At 41.9% G+C, this 16,515-nt stretch overlaps 1 protein-coding gene across 11 annotated transcripts in view; it reads left to right on the top strand.

Annotated features, from left to right (window-relative positions):
* The window catches only part of AGBL1 (AGBL carboxypeptidase 1), a 951,857-nt gene that overhangs the window by 169,651 nt on the left and 765,691 nt on the right, over positions 1–16,515 (top strand). For 10 of the 11 annotated variants that reach the window (XR_007064423.1, XR_931751.4, XM_011521227.4 and 7 more), the window contains exons 8-11: positions 7,583–7,748; positions 8,694–8,761; positions 13,508–13,624; positions 14,988–15,568. Coding sequence is in view for 9 of the 11 variants with exons in the window: in XM_011521227.4 (XP_011519529.1) it covers positions 7,583–7,748; positions 8,694–8,761; positions 13,508–13,624; positions 14,988–15,568 (932 nt within the window). In the remaining 2 variants the exon portion in view is untranslated. The remainder of the gene's footprint in view (positions 1–7,582; positions 7,749–8,693; positions 8,762–13,507; positions 13,625–14,987; positions 15,569–16,515) is intronic. The other variant, XM_017021918.3, reaches the window with a different exon arrangement.

The raw sequence follows: 16,515 nt of genomic DNA on the forward strand, positions 1-16,515 counted from the left end.
CTTGCTCTTCTCTGGACACCCTCCAGTTTTTCTCTATCTGAGTACATCTGAGGTAATGAAGCCACCAATGAGAGTGTTGTTTTTCCAACCGTGGTATCTGGAGACATTTCTCATTAAAAAATGGTCTTTTCCCCTGCTAAACAATAACAAAATACAGTGCTGCAAACCAATATCTAACTCCCTATCTGCTATCACCTCTGGGTTTCTTTCCATCATTACAGCTTTCAAAGCTTCTCAGTCATGAAATAGCTATATTTTACCTTCTATTTCTCGACATGAAGCAGGGCTTTGAATTTTTCCAAGCTTCCTCATGCTTTCTAAGCTTGTGGTTGCCCAAGTCTCTAATCCCTCCCAGTCCTTGTGCAATGCCCTCCTGCATTGCCGATGTTTAACAGCCCCCCACTCTGGTCCAGTGCTTTACCGTGTTCCTCTGCCCTCCATGTTATTGGCTATTTCTCTGTTCTGTGCTAAAAAACCAACCAAACAATAAACAAAACAAACAAGAAAAACAAGACCAATAAAGGAAGAAGACAGTAGTCACAGAGGGAAATGTCTACGATAGAAAGGTGGTGGAGAAAACACCAAATGAAGCCCAGCATGAGGTGCTATGAATCTGTGCACAGGTTCTTCAAAACAGTTCCTTATCAGGTCAGTGAAGACTTCAGTTGCTCAATTAAGCACATTAGCAAGAAGCTTCCAGCCTTGAACTACTGTTGGAATGGAAGCAGAATGTGAGTGCACACAGAGTGTGCACTTTATAGTGAGGTTTCTCTAGCTCATGTTATAATCTCTGCAAGTATGATATGGAAAAGCAGTTCAGGAGGGGCCTATGGGATAGTGCTGAGTAAATAGGCCATGACACATCTGTCACCTGGAAGAGTGTATAGAATGTATGGGTGTCAACCTCAAGAGGTTGAATTCCTCACCACCACCACTCGCCCTTGCTTTTAGTCTTTTAAATAGTGTGCTCTTGGCCGGGAGTGGTGGCTCATGCCTGTAATCCCAGCACTTTGGGTGGCTGAGGCAGGCGGATCACCTGAGGTCAGGAGTTCAAGACTAGCCTGGCCAACATGGCAAAACCCCATCTCTACTAAAAATACAAAAAATTAGCCGGGCGTGGTAGCATGTGTCCGTAATCCCAGCTACTCAGGAGGCTGAGACAGAAGAATTGCTTGAACCCAGGAAGTGGAGGTTGCGATGAGTTGAGATCACACCATTGCACTCCAGTCTGGGCAACAGAGTAAGACTCTGTCTCAAAAAAAAAAAAAAAAAAAAAAAAAAAAAAAAAAAAAAAAAAAAAAAAGGTGTGCTCTTCCAGAGAAAATGTTATCAAGTTTATGTGCAAAGTCAGATGTTTGACATTCTCCTGGTTTTTGGAAAATGATCATTGCAGGTGAAAGATAGGCTGTCCTGGCTTAGAAACCAAATGGCTTGTTACTCTTCCCCCCGGCAGTCATAACCAGTGTTGAGTAGCCTCCCAGACCTCAGGTGAGTGCTGTGAGCACAGATGCCCTTGCAGGTGTGCTGGAGTTACAGCTGCCCATCACCCCTCCTCTCCCTTCTGCTAGAGAAGGCATGGGAGTCACTGGATGGCCAACTTAGGGGCCTTGGATTTGGTGATGTTATTTCAGTTGCCATTTGCAAATTATGCTGCTGTTGCTGCTGCTGCTGCTATTGCTACTGCCAGTGATAGTGATGACAATGTTAATGAAGCAGCAGCAGCAGAGGGAGGAGGAGGAAGAGGAAGAGAAGAAGTAGGAGAAGGAGAAGACAGTTACTTTGAACTCTTACTATTAATACATCCCTTGGCTGTCTTAGCAATTTATGCAGACTCTCCAATATTGATAATTTCAAAAGCTTTTGAGGTAGGATCTATTATTATCTCCCTTTTTATAGATGAAGAAACTGAGGCACGTAACTGTTAAGTAATTTTCCCAAGTTCGCAAAGCTCATAAGTGTTGGAGCTAGGATTGGAATCTGGTAGTCTCACCTGAGAGCCCATGCTTTTGCCCACTGTACCAGCAGCTCCCCCAGTTGAGCATGCATCAGAGTCACCTGGAGGGGTCACTGAAGCAGAGCCTGTTGGACATCAATCTCAGAGTTTCTGACTCAGTAGGGCTCTGGTGGGGCCTGAGAATGTGCTTTCCTGACAACTTCCTAAATGACGCTGATACTACTGATTTAGGATCACACTTGGAAAACCAATGTCCTAAATTAATTTTATTGATGTTTGTGATGTGCTGACAAACCTACTGAGAATGAGACTGACTGTAAAGGAACTTTTTTTAAGTCCTTCCCACACCTTTGCCATCATAATATTCTTCTTTGCCTTTCTGCTGAGGCCACTGCTTGCATTGTTTCTCTCTTGGTGACCCTACCTCTCTGTTTCCTGAGTCTCACGTTTCTGCACAGATTCTGTAAACATCCCCTAAAAGTTCAAAGGCTGAGATCATAGTGCAGCAAGGGTGCTGTGTAATGTAGTATAATGGAATCTTATTGGAGCTTTGCATGAGGAAAGAGGAAGACGGATGACAATTTGAATGCAAGATTGAAAAAAAAAAAGAACTCCTACAAGGATGCCTGAAACATTTGGGGATAATTATCAATTTGGAGAAATAGGTAACTGCAGAAGGAACAAACCTATATAAGATAATCAGAGAAAAGAACCACTCTTTGGAGCTACAACAGTTTAAGGGGCCTGAAAGGTTGCTAAAATTGGTGGTTTTCAAACTTGAGCATGCATCAAAGTTACCTAGAGGAATTGTTAAAACACAGATTGCTAGATCCTACCCCAGAGTTTCTACTTCAGTTGTTCCGAGGTGAGATGCAAGATTCTGCATTTCTAACGAGTTCTCAGGTGATACTGATGCTACTGGTCTGGGTACTTCACTTTGAGAACCACTGGAATAAGAACTGATATGGCCTTTTAAAAGTCACAGTTGCCACCATTTGCTCAGAAAGCACAGTAGGCCAAGCCTTGATTCATCAGGCTCCTCTCTGGCCAACAAGACCAATGACCTCAGCCTTGTGGACCTGTGTAAGGAGGGACTGAATTCTAAAGAGAATATTACCAGGTTGGAATCAAGAACTGGATACCCTAAAGGTCAGATTGGTCTGAGATCATTTACTATTTATTCAGTAAATGTTTTCTGAGCTCCTTCTTTGTGAAAGATGTTGGGGCTGGGTTCTATAGGGGGTTCAAAGATGAAGGTGATAGAGGACTCATCATCTTCAGGAAACTTAGAATCCTATATGGGAAAATAGGATATGGATAATGCAGTGTAGCCAGCAGGTGGGGGTAATAGCAGACTTTGTGTAACCATGCAGAGGAGGCCCTACTTGGTCTTGCTGACCAGAGAAGCCTCCATGAAGGCACCCACATTTGAATGAGGCTAGGAGAGCGTTTTGAAAAGTCTAAGAGAAACACTTGGTTTGTGAACTGTTCAGAGAAGCACAGGAGGTGGCCACCAGGCACAGACAGAGAAGCTGTGGAGAGCGAGTGGGACAACTAGGACGTTTTGGAGGGTCAGGCAGAAGGAAAGATCTCAGTGACAATCCAGAAGATATCAAGCCATTTCCATTTAAGATATTTTTATATTGAAGCTACGCCACATCTGCCCTTGGGCTTAGAATTTCTCCTCTATGTTCAAAGAATCACCGCAAAGAGAAGGGAGAGAGGGGTTATGCCAGGCAGGAGTCGAAGAGCTGCTGTGTCACCTGAGACCTGAATAGTAAGAAAGAACCAGTGCCATGAGGGTCTGGAGACGAGGGTTCCAGGGAGAGAAAAAGAAAGTACATGCAAAGACCCTCAGGTGGGGGAGTAGAGTGGGAGGTGGGTGAGCTTGAGAAACACAGACATGGCAGAGCATTGTGAGTAAGGGTGGAGGCATGAGATTGAGTTGGAGTCATGGGCAGTGCCAGGGCATTTAGAGTTCCTTGAACTATGATAGGGACTTTGAATTTTACTTCCATCAACTTTTTTTTGTTTGTTTTGTTTTGAGATGGAGTCTCGCTCTGTCACCCAGGCTGGAGTGCAGTAGTGTGATCTTGGCTCACTGCAGCCTCCGCCTCCTGAGTTCAAGCGATTCTCCTGCCTCAGCCTCCCGAGTAGCTGGAATTACAGCCATGCACCACAATGCCTGGCTAATTTTTGTATTTTTAGTAGAGACGGGATTTCACCTTGTTGGCCAGGCTGGTCTCAAACTCTTGATGTCGTGATCCACCTGCCTCGGCCTCCCAAAGTGCTGGGATTACAGGCGTGAGGCACCATGCCTGGCCTCCATCAACTTGTAAGGAGGCACGAAGGAGAAGAGGACATGAATTAAAGGGATAGGGAGGGCCAGATCACATAGAACTTCCTAGGGCACAAAAATAAATTAGAATTTTATTTCTATCAAGTTTGAAGCAGGAGACTGACCCGATACAGTTTATGTGTTTCATTTTTTTATTTTTGAAAAATTTTAAATTAATTGTAGTAAAATACATGCAACCAAATTCACCATCTTAACTGTTTTTAAGTGTACAGTTTGGTAGGGTTAAGTACATTGTTGTATAACTGTCACTACTACCCATCCATCTCCAGAACCCTTTTCATCTGGAAAAATTGAAACTCTATACCCATTAAACTGATTTATGCTTTTAAAGGACCATTCTGGCTGCCATTTGGAAAAGAGATTATCAGAGGGCACAAGGGGAAGGAAGGAGAGTAAGGGGAGGAATTAGAGTGTTGATAGGAGTGTAGGCAGGAGATGTTCGTGGCTTTGGCTACATAGAAGCAGAGCTGGAATTTAAACCCAGGACTTTATACTCTTAGTCAAGGTCCTTTTCCACTAAAATGCCTTGCTTTGTTATCATGGGAATTATTACTAGGACTCTGCTCTGCGTAGCAGTGACTCCTAGTATTCTCTTGCAGACTCCTAGGAGACTTTATGAAACTAAGGATGCCTTCTCTCTTCCCACTGGCTAATACTAAATGCTTACTATTCGGCACTTGCCTACTTTAATGCATTTAATTCACACACAACATTAGGAGAGAGGTTGTGTTATTATCTCCACTTTGCAGATGAAGACACTGTGGCACAGAGAAGTGTATTAATTTGCCACGGTTATGAAGTTAGTAATCTTTAGTCCAGGATTTAAACTCATGTAGTCTGGCTCCAGGACCTGAGCAGTTTGCTCTTACTTTACCTTGCCTATGTATCATGCAAGTAGGGTATTTATTACGCCAAAGCGAATTCAAAGATGTTAACTGTGACGGAAGCATTGAATGTATTAATTGAATGCATTCTCATATTTCATCATCCCTTCCAAGTAGCAGATGTGTTATTGAGAGTGATGGGAAAAGGGAGCCTAAAATCTCACCTTTCCCTCCAATTCTGAGACATTGGTCCATAAGGATCCTATTTCCTGGAGTCTTGTCTTTTTTTGATGCAAAGCACAAGTACCAGCCCTGCACTTCTAGGAGCCTGAGAGCAAGTGCTTCCTGGGAACCTCCCTTTCCTCACCTTAGTCTTGGCTCTGCACAGCACCTTTCCATCAGCATGAGGGAAATGTTGACAAAGGAATTCAAGAATTTCTGTCACCTTGAAACCAATGATCTTTGCATTCATAAGTATTTCCCCTACAGTGCAGCAGACAGCAAATATATCATGATTCCTAAAGCCTTGGGTTTTATAGATTTTAATACTCCCTCCAGCCTTCAAATTCAGTTCGTGGTATGGCCCAATTTTTCAGAACATTTGAACTTGCCTTCATCCTTTCACTTGTTCCATTCCACCAACAAAAAAGACATGATTATCTTTTATTATCAAAGACCATCACAAACATACCTAGGTTCCAAAATGTTGGCTTTTTTGACTGAATTCCCTGGCTTGGGCTGGCTCTATCTCTACCAAGGTTGGAGCTTAGAATATTATATCTGATAAGCCATCTCTTTCACCTTCTTGCTTCCTCCTTGAGACTCTGTTTTATTTTTTTCCCATTGCTGATACTTTTCATGAAACACTTGAGACCATTTGACCAGACCAAAGGGTGAAATAGCTTCAACTGTTCATTAGCCTCCATAATGAATTAGCCAAAACTAATTCATTTTCCACCAAGAGTATTTCCTGCTGTGTATCCTGAGGCTGTTGATTCAGAACACCTGATGGGTATGACTGGCACACACTGAAGGAGAGAGAGCACTCTTGATTGCATTAAGACATTTCATTTTGAAAGCTGGCTTACTTAAGGCTGGGCGTGGTAGCTCATGCCTGTAATCCCAGTACTTTGGGAGACTGAGGTGGGTATTTTATCCTGAGGTCAGGAGTTTGATACAAGCCTAACCAACATGGGGAAACCCCGTCTCTATTCAAAATACAAACATTAGCTGGTGTTGTAGCAGGCATCTGTAATCCCAGCTTCTCAGGAGGCTGAGGCAGGATAATTGCTTGAACCCGGGAGGTGGAGGTTGCTGTGAGCTGAGATCGTGCCACTGCACTCTAGCCTGGGTGACAGAGTGAGACTGTCTAAAAAAAAAAGAAAGTTGACTTACTTATATTTTGGAGTCATTTGGGTAGCTTAAATTCATGGAAAAATTTTTATTAATTTTTTTCCTCCATGTTCTTTCACATGGAAGTACCTGTAATGTTGAGTCTGGAGATGCCATAGTTCAGCAGCACCACGGACATTCACACTACCCTGTGGTGTGTACCTAGCATCCACCATCTCCACTTCTGTGACTTATTGGCCTCAGAGCTTTCTGCACCCTTTAGGAATAGCAAACTGGGGGACCCCACAAGTCATCTTCCTGTACCAAGTCAGTAGACAAAACATTTACAAAGATACTGAAGAAAATGGTTGTGTTTTTGCCAAAGAGATACTGAACTATACTCAACTCTCTGTCTCTCAATTTAGTGAACTTGTTCCTACATTTTTCACAGTGTCTGAAAAGAAGGGTCTTGTCATGTTCCATCAGTATCAAAATGTTACATCTGCAAACCCAATTTTTCTCTGATTTGGGAAGGTACCAAGAGGGATCAACACTGTGGGCTTTGAGAAGAGGCATGTAATTTAATTTAGGTACTTGGGATTCACTTAGTCTTTCCTTCTGATTTCATATTTTATCTTTTTTAAAAAATATTTTTCTCCACAGAAGACAGCTGAAAGAGAAAAGCAAAACTTCCATCAATTCAGCTGCTCATTGCCTAACGTAGGCAATAATTCACAGTGACACATGGGTGGCTGAGAAAAGACACCGGCCTCCTCTTCCCCCAGCTATCCTGAGCAATGTCTTGCCTTAGGCGCAGCATCCCTTGAAAGAATTTTAAGTCTGTATTCAGACTGAATTCATTGCAGTGATGTATGAAATGAGCAAGAGACAGAAAAGTGCAGATTCTACATTAGACAAAATTCTATGTTGGAATGTTCAAATTTGACATTCTACATTAAGGCTGTTTACGGTCTGTCCATGCGTATAATTCATTAGCTGAAACACAGCTAGGAGACTGTGCTGTGTTACAGCTTGGAGAGTGTTATTAGCTGTGTTACAGCTAGGGGACTGTGCCCAGATGTTGGCATCTGATATAATCTTCCCTTTGCTCAGAACTGCCTGGATGACAAGAGCATGGAGCCCGTCATCTCTGTGGTGCTTCAGATCCTGAGGCAGTGCTACCCTACGAGTCCACTTCCCTTGGTCACAGCCAGCAGTGCCTATGCCTTCCCGGTCCCCGGGTGCATCACCACTGAACCTCCACATGATCTACCTGAAGGTAAAATAAGTTGGTAACTATGACCTTTAAGATGAGTTTTTGCATTTTGACCATGTTTCCCAGGAACATGGGTGAAAATAGAATTCGTTATTTTATAGGTCAACCATAATTGTCTATTAAGCTAATTAGAGACATATATGAAAAAGCAGTTTTGATTTTCATAAACAGGGTGATTTCATAAACAGAAAAAACCAAGCTCGCTTATTTTGTTCTTCATTATTAACTGTTTCTGCTTTGCTTGGTAGCTATCAAATGCCTGTACAGTCATCTCAGCTAATTTTAAAAAAGTCTATTTAGAATCCCATGATCGAATCTCTGCAGCATACTGACTGTGGAATTAATTTGCCCTAAGGATGAAATTGAAATAAAACTCTTGTTATTTACAACTGCAGGCTAGTCATATTGGAATATTTGAAAGTATTATTATTTAATCTCTGGGAAGATCTTCCTGTCAAAAGATCCTAGTACGAACAGATTTTCTATAGGCATAATTTTGCCACAATGGTACAAGATGCCTTCTATGGACTTTTGTTTTAAATAACTTCCTCAATCAAAAAATTAGGGGCTCAATCAAGGTGATATTTAGGTTATAACACATTTCGTTTGTGTGTGATCTCTAAACTTTGGCTACACTAGTTGCATAAATACCTCTAACTTTCATGGGAGAATCCAGAGTGGTATTCATGTGTCATTTTTTCTGCACTTATTTTGCATTCAATGTGGGATAACTGTTTAAACTTTATGACTTAGTGCCCCGACATGCCTACATGAACACCATTTATACCGACCAATAAGCATTTGTGTGTGGTGGGATATTGTGCAATTAATATTGGGCCCCTTATTTGAGAGAGGAAGAAGAAAGAACCACTGTATGGTGAAAATCTAAATCCTAAATCCCGGGCAAAGGGGAAACTTCACTTATTTCACCTCTTTTTCCCCATCCAGAGGATTTTGAAGATGATGGCGATGATGAAGTGGACAAAGACTCTGATACTGAAGATGGGAAAGTGGAAGTAGGTACACCAGCCCATGCTTCTAATGATGTCCATAGTCACATCATGCACAGAAAAATATTACTTCCTGTGTTTGCCCAAGCCCAGTGTAAATTTTAAGAACTGACTTTAGTACTGCCACTCCAGTGGTCGTGATGCGCAGTAAATGATAGCTACTGTTATTGATTTCCAAGTTGTCATTTTCATCTTGGTAGGTCCGGTACAATGTCTCATTATAAAGTCAGAGGCTATCCTATACATTATTATGACACCAATACTTTATTCAGATGACCTTTAGGCACACATTTAACACTTGGAGTTGGTATATTTGATAAGACCATTTAAGACCCTAGAAAGATTTTCCAGGAAGCTTTCTGCCTTTGTAAGTCACTCTTCTTATCCTTTCTGCACAGGGGTGCTGCATTGTACAATTCCATTGACATCAGACTCTGTGAATTGTTTTCCCTTAAGTTGCACAGTGCACAACCTGGCCAGCAGAGAAGTGTTGCTCTTTGGTCCCCCTCCCAAAAAGGCCTATTCTATAGAAGAGAGGTTGGTGAACTTCCTATAAAAGGTCCAATAGTAATTATTTTAGGCTTTGTGGACCATACAGTCTTTGTCACAACTGCTCAACTTTGCTGTTGTAGCACAAAACAGCTATAGACAATTTGTAAACAAATGGGCATGGCTGTGTTCCAAGAAATTTTTTTTTTTGAGACAGAGTCTCACTCGTGTCACCAGGCTGGAGTGCAGTGGTGTGATCTTGGCTCACTGCAACCTCCACCTCCCGGATCCAAGCAATTTACCAACTTCAGCCTCCCAAGTAACTGGGACTGCAGATGCCTACCACCACACCCAGCTAATTTTTGTATTTTTAGTAGAAACAGGATTTCACCGTATTGGCCAGGCTGGTCTCGAACTCTTGACCTTGTGGTCTGCCCGCCTCAGCCTCCCAAAGTACTGGGATTACAGGCATGAGCCACTGTGCCCAGCCTCCAAGCAGTCTTTGTTTACAAAAATAAGCAGTGGGATATAGTTTACTGACTGTTTTTGTACAACAAGTTTTCTAGACCTTGGCACTGTTGGCATTTAGACCGGTTACTTCTTGGTTGTGGGAGGCTGCCTTGTGCATTGTAGGATGTTTAGCAGCATTCCTCACCTCTACCCACTGGATATCAGTAGTACCTACCTCATTACCCTCCAGGGATGAACCAAAAATATCTCTTAGACTTGCCAAAATCACCCCTAGTTGAGGACTACTGCTCTAGAATAAGAATTTGTCTGTGAATTATAATTCTATCTCCATTTCTGTTGGTGGACATGGACTTTGACAAATTCCTTTAAGTTATAGTTTCTTAATTTTGTTGTCTGTAAAATAAGAGTCAGTAAATTAAGGTCAATGCTGCCTTTTATGACATTTACTGGGGATGAAACTCAAATTAAAAAAAATCAAAAATCTTCCCTCCTTTCCTTTCTCTCCTTCTTTCCTATCTGTCTAGAAAGAAAGAGGCTTTTGAGTTCTCTGTCATGATAATCACTCACCCTGCTGATGGTAGTAGCAGACATACAGGGACTACCTCTTAAGCTACATCTATAGGTTTAGACTGCTATTGACAGTCTGGTGTTCTCTGGGTTTTGTTGATAAATAGAATCATTTCTGAAGTCATCCGTAGCAAATTGGATCTTTGCTGTGGCTTGATGGTGCAGGCCTATGGAGTACGTGCTGAATTATTTGAATAATACTGTGCTGCTGCAGTCATTCATCAATGCCACTTTCCCCTCCCCTCTTGCTTGCTCTTTGATAACTGAATGTCTGATGCAGAGTGTCACCCACTTCATGTATCTGATGGGGAGGGACCGGGTGCACGATAGTGCCTGACTTCCCACAGCATGGGAGGGAGGGTGTTCAGATAGTTCCCTTGGCCCACGCTTTGCAGAGGATGGAGGGGTGGGGTAGAGAGAACCCTAAACAAATAAATAAACTCAACTGGCAAAGAAGCACAAGACAAATTGGTAAGAGCTTGAAAACTATTCTTCAAAAGGCTTCAAGCCAAGGCAAGAAGATGAGAAGTCAGTGTGAGGATGAATTGTAGAGAAGGAGAGGAGCATGAGAGTCAGGGCTCAAATTGGAGGCACAGCAAGAGCAAGGAAACTGCTCCAGAAAACTGGATTTTCCCTGGGGAAACCAGCAGCATTTGCTGCCAGAGGCGTGAACAAGAAGTCAGGCATATTTTATTTCTGGCCACAGCACTGATCCAGGCCTTTAACCTGTGGCCTTCCCATTTGACAATCTTAGGTAATAATTGGGACCAGCCTGTTAGTAAGAATGATTAAGAGGATCTTTTATCCATAAAGGGCTATGAGAGTGGAAAGTAGGGTGCCATGATTTGATTGAAAACTGCCAAGGTCAACGTATTAGATGTGGGCTGTCTTCACATACACAAGCATTAGATTCTGACAAACTCTGAAGAGGAGGGTGATAAACAGAGTGAATTCAAGCTCTCCCTTCCTTCTTCCTTCCTTTCCTTTCTTTTTAATTTTTTATTCTTTCAGGTGCTTTATTGGGTATGATCCGTATGCAACATGCTAAATTCTTGGGGATGATAATCTGAAACACAAACAGATAAGACATAGTTTTTATCTTCAAAGAGTTCACAGTCTAGTGGACTTGGAGTTTGTCCTTATTAAGTGTTCTAATCACCACCTTCAATGGAGTGGTGAACTCAAGTCTGAGGCAGCCAAAAGACAATGTCCAAAAGCTCCAACCTATGGAACAAGAGCCAGAAAGCATTACCTGGATTAGGTGGGTACCAGAATTCTAGCTGGTAAAGGACTGCCTGGGCTGCTGTGAGGACACAGAAGCAGGCCACCTCCAGATAAGAATAAATGCCATTTATAAGAAATACAAAAGGAGGTGGCAACCTGGCTGAGTGCCTGGTTCTCAGAGACTAAGCTCCAGAACTTTGAAGGCAGAAATGGTCTCTGTCACAACTATTAAACTTTGCTGTTGCACTGAGAAAACAACCATGATCAAATGAATGGGTGTGGCTCTTTTCCAATAAAACTTTATTGACAAAAACAACCAGTGGGCCATAGTTTATTAACCCCTGCTCTAAGGCTAAGTGGGTCGCCTAGTCACATGTGGAATGAATTAGGTTGCAGCTCATGGGTTGAATGACTCTCCTCCCTTCAGATGCACCAGTTGGAGCACAGCCTTACTCACTGGTGGGGACATCCTTCCCAGTGGCCTTCCAGGTTGTGTTTCCCTTAGTACCACCCTGGGCCATGGCTGAGGTTGCAGTGGAGGGGGTGAAGGCAAGCAGGAATTGATGGATGAAGCTGCAAAGCACAAGAGTGGGGGCCATGGAGTTGGTCATGGTGTGTATACTGTACCTGAAAATATCATTAAATGAAACTCATGGGAATTACTTTTCTTTTAATTTGAAGTTTGGAGAAAAATTGTGAAACATAGATGGAACATTGCATTTTTTTGCCCCTTGGATCAGAAATACAAACATTTATTTTCCACGTTTATTGGATTTAACCTTTCAGTACTGCCAGGTTTTTCCTTAACTAATGAAATATACTTGTAAAACATATGGTATTTTTTTTTTCTCTATTTCATTAAGGAAACTTAATCTAGGATATGAAAAGATGAAGAGACTGGGCTGGTTCATTCCTGGTGTCTTTTCTCTGTAAGACCCTACAACCCTTGGAAAACACACAAGTATTCAGAGGAGAGTCACCATCATCATTAAAAGGTTTCGAAATGGTGATCTATCAAGAATAAACAATAAAGTGCCTGGGATTATTCAGTCCAATAAATAAAAGACTCACGGTGCCTTGGTAAATTTTTAAATGTACAAAGGGATAAAGATGTAGTAGGAGAATACCAGCTCCTCCCCAGGTCTCATAAGGATTGATATAATTTCTCTCCCGCCTACTTCTCAAATCTCATCTCCTGCAATCTTCCTCTTATTCTGTATGCAACAGCCACCTTCTTTCTGTAAGCAAATTGAAGCTTTTCCTTCTGCTAATAATTCACTGCTAGGCCTATGCATAGCTGGCTTTTTTTTTTTTTTTTGCCATTTAGGTCTCAGTTAAAACTTTACCTCCTTATGAGTCCTCCTGAGATCTCCTAATCCAAACAGCCTCCCATTCCCCAGTCTTAGTAACATCATTCTCTTTTATCATTTCAAGAGGAGTTATAACTGTTGGAAATTAACTTATTCATTTGTTTACTTTCTTCTTTACTGTTTTTCTTCTCTCGCTAAAAGGCAAATACCATGGAAGCATGGATGTTTGTCTGTTCCATTGTGACCGAAACTTCAGTACCGGGAAGAGTACCTGCTCACAGTCGGTGCTGATTAAATGTTTGTGAAAAGACTGACAAACCTAAATGTCAAAGATAGATAAAGAGGGACAATAATTACAATGATGCTGACGATAGTGGCAATGAGATAAAGAATTTCTTTTATAATGTGCTTTATCAATTATGTAGTTTATCTCATTTTATACAAATTTTTATTTCTGATGAAGGCTGATAAATACTGACATAAATGCTGAGACAAGTCCTTTATCTTCTTTCTTTTTATTTTAAAAATACAATCCAGCATAACAAATTCTTCACTGGATGGGCCAGTGCTATAATTTGGAGGCAAGAAAACCATGTCCTAAGATTCTGAAGAAGCACATACATATCATGTCTTGATGCTTCTCAGGGTGGATTTCCTGACTGTAATCTCTTCTATGACTATTCCATTTTAGGATGATGACTTGGAAACAGACGTGAACAAGCTGAGTTCCAAACCTGGTCTTGACCGACCTGAAGAGGAACTGATGCAATATGAGGTGATGTGTCTTGAGCTCTCCTATAGCTTTGAGGTAGGACATATGCTGTGGTTCTGATCTTTGACGATGCATGATGGGTTCTTTGCAGATCCTGGGAGGCCAAACCAGGGTGTCCAGATGGAAAGCATTGCTCATCATTAGCCATATGCTTCTGGGCTCTTCCTTAGAGAAAAGCAGAATGCTAAACAAAAGTGGGAAAAGATGGCAAAAATGGAAAAAAGTTACGATGTATGCAAGAGTTCTTCAGTCTGACACCTTACACTTAGGATGGATACAAGGTCATGTGCTGCATAATGACATTTCCATTGATGACAGGCAGCATATTCCTTGATGGTCCCATAAGATTATAATACTGTATTTTCACTGCACCTTTTTATGTTTAGACACACAAATCCCATTGTATTACTATTGCCTACAGTGTTCAGCACTTTAACATGCTGTACAGGTTTGTAGCCTAGGAGCAACAGGCCACACCATATAGCCTAGGTACACCGTAGGCTAAACCATCTAAGTTGGTGTAAGCACACCCTATGATGTTCATACAACAATGAAATCACCTGATGATGCATTTCTCAGAGCATTCCCCATTGTTAGGTAATGCATGACTGTAGCATGAAGGTACACATCACTGCCTATTGTCTGGTGGGCAGGGTGCCCTGCCCCCATGCACTGAAAAAGCAAATAAAAATTCATGATGATTTAATTGTTCTCATGCCAAAGTGGGACCGTTGTCCTAGATGGCTTTTTGAAGGTGGACATACTGACTTCAGGCTTTCTTTTTTAATAGAAACAAATTGGGAACATTAGACCTGGTGATGCTAATTCTGTGCCTAGTTGCTGCTGCCACTGTTGCTGCCATCGATATTTTAGACCTGCTTTTTGATCTCCATTATTTTCTTATGGCTCTTAGTAATCATGAATTTGCCTACATCTAAGGGTATAAGCTAAGTCATGTGTACAGAGGGAGTTAATATATTCTATTTGGCTTCAGAAAGCAGAAGGATGGTTTCAGGGAAGGAAATTTCAGTTTAGTATAAAAATTTTTTTCAAATAAACAGAATTATTCTCAAGTGAAAGGCACTGCCTTGGGGTGCAGTGAGGCCCCCATAAATATGGTTTTCCAACCAGATTGTAATTTAGTAGGGGGTCTTGAAGACATTCAAATACTGTTTTGCATTGGACTAGACCCACCAAAAGCCCCTTCCAAACATGAGTTTCTATGATTCTGTCATTTATTTGACTCTTGAAGGTTAGTCTTTAGTTGACCTTGGAAAAAGCTTCCACATTCACAGGATTTATGCTTAGCTCTGTGCCCAGAGAGTAAGGACAGGGATCAAATTGTATTCCCTACCTGGAAGGACACACTAACATATTGTATTCCATTTTGAACCTGAAGGAACTGCAGTCCAAACTTGGAGATGATTTGAACTCTGAAAAGACTCAGTATGCCAATCACCACCACATTCCAGCCGCTGCCTCCTCAAAACAGCATTGCTACAGCAAGGACCAAAGCTCCTGTGGGCAAGAAAGAGAATATGCTGTCCAGACTTCCCTTCTGTGCAGGGTGAAGACGGGAAGGTCCACTGTGCATCTAGGCTCCAAAAAAAATCCTGGAGTGAACCTGTACCAAAATGTGCAATCCAATAGTCTCAGGAGAGATTCTTCTGAAAGTGAAATCCCTGACATTCAGGCTTCCCCGAAAGCAGATGCCTGGGACGTAGATGCAATTTTCTGCCCAAGGATGAGTGCCTCCTTTTCTAATTCCACTAGGACTAGAGAAGTTGTCAAAGTAATAGATAAGCTTCTGCAGACACATCTGAAGCGTGTCCCTTTCCACGATCCCTATCTTTATATGGCCAAAGCCAGAAGAACCAGCTCTGTGGTGGACTTCAAGATGATGGCATTTCCTGATGTCTGGGGACACTGTCCCCCTCCCACCACCCAGCCTATGTTGGAACGAAAATGTGGAGTCCAAAGGTGATGGCGCTACTGACTTGGGAGCTCTTTTTTTCTGTTCTTTGATAATTTTATAAGTAAAATGGTTTGTACAGATAATTCTACTATCTATAGGAAAGAGAGCATTAATCAGGAACATGTCAAAGCCTGTTGGCAAACTGGCCAAACACACAAACTTTGCTTCCTGCAAGGACTTTTCAGAATCAAGTGTGGGGTAGTGGTAGGCATGCATTTTCTGATGAAAAATTCCTTGAGTAATTCTAATACAACTCCTTATCCTATCTCCATTGCAAACCACTATCACAAAGAAAGATCATCCAGTTTTTCCAAATACTGGGCTCCTTCCTCAAAAGTAGGTTTTCAGGAAAATCAAGAGCTGATTATTTGGGATCTCTTTTCTTGCTTCCTACAAATTGATAGGGGATCTCTTGCTAATAGAAAGGAGGAGGTGTGCCTCCATTCCACAGCCCTAGCTATTATAGACCCTGGCTTAGTTAGGAGAATAGTTTTGCTGCCTCACAGAGCTGGCGGGGAGTTGATGGAAGAGAAATTCTCCAGGGAAGAAACACTGGTTGATAGATTATTCCCAGAAGGCAGGAAAGGGAGCTTTACCCATGGCTCAGCATATTGAGATTAAAATGAAAACTGCTAAAGGCAAAGAAAACATTATTCTCCTTGAAAAAAAACTGTATGCACATACCAAGTCAATGGAGCAAAGTGGGCAGACCAGAAAGTTTTCTTATTATCCACGTCATCTGTAAATTATTCTCTTGATGGTAAATCCCCCAAACTGCTCCCACTTGGGGTCCTGGCTGACATATCCAACCCTACCCCCTGCACTTTATCTGTCATGCTCATTTTTTGAGAAACAGATCACAAGGGCTGTTCTAGCACCATGTTATCCCTGCATAGGACATCTTCCCTCTGAGTCCAGGCCTCATGTCCACCTTTTCTTCACCCTTCTCTCA

The sequence above is a fragment of the Homo sapiens genome, chromosome 15 (genome assembly GCF_000001405.40).
Source record: "Homo sapiens chromosome 15, GRCh38.p14 Primary Assembly".
Lineage (NCBI taxonomy): Eukaryota > Metazoa > Chordata > Mammalia > Primates > Hominidae > Homo > Homo sapiens.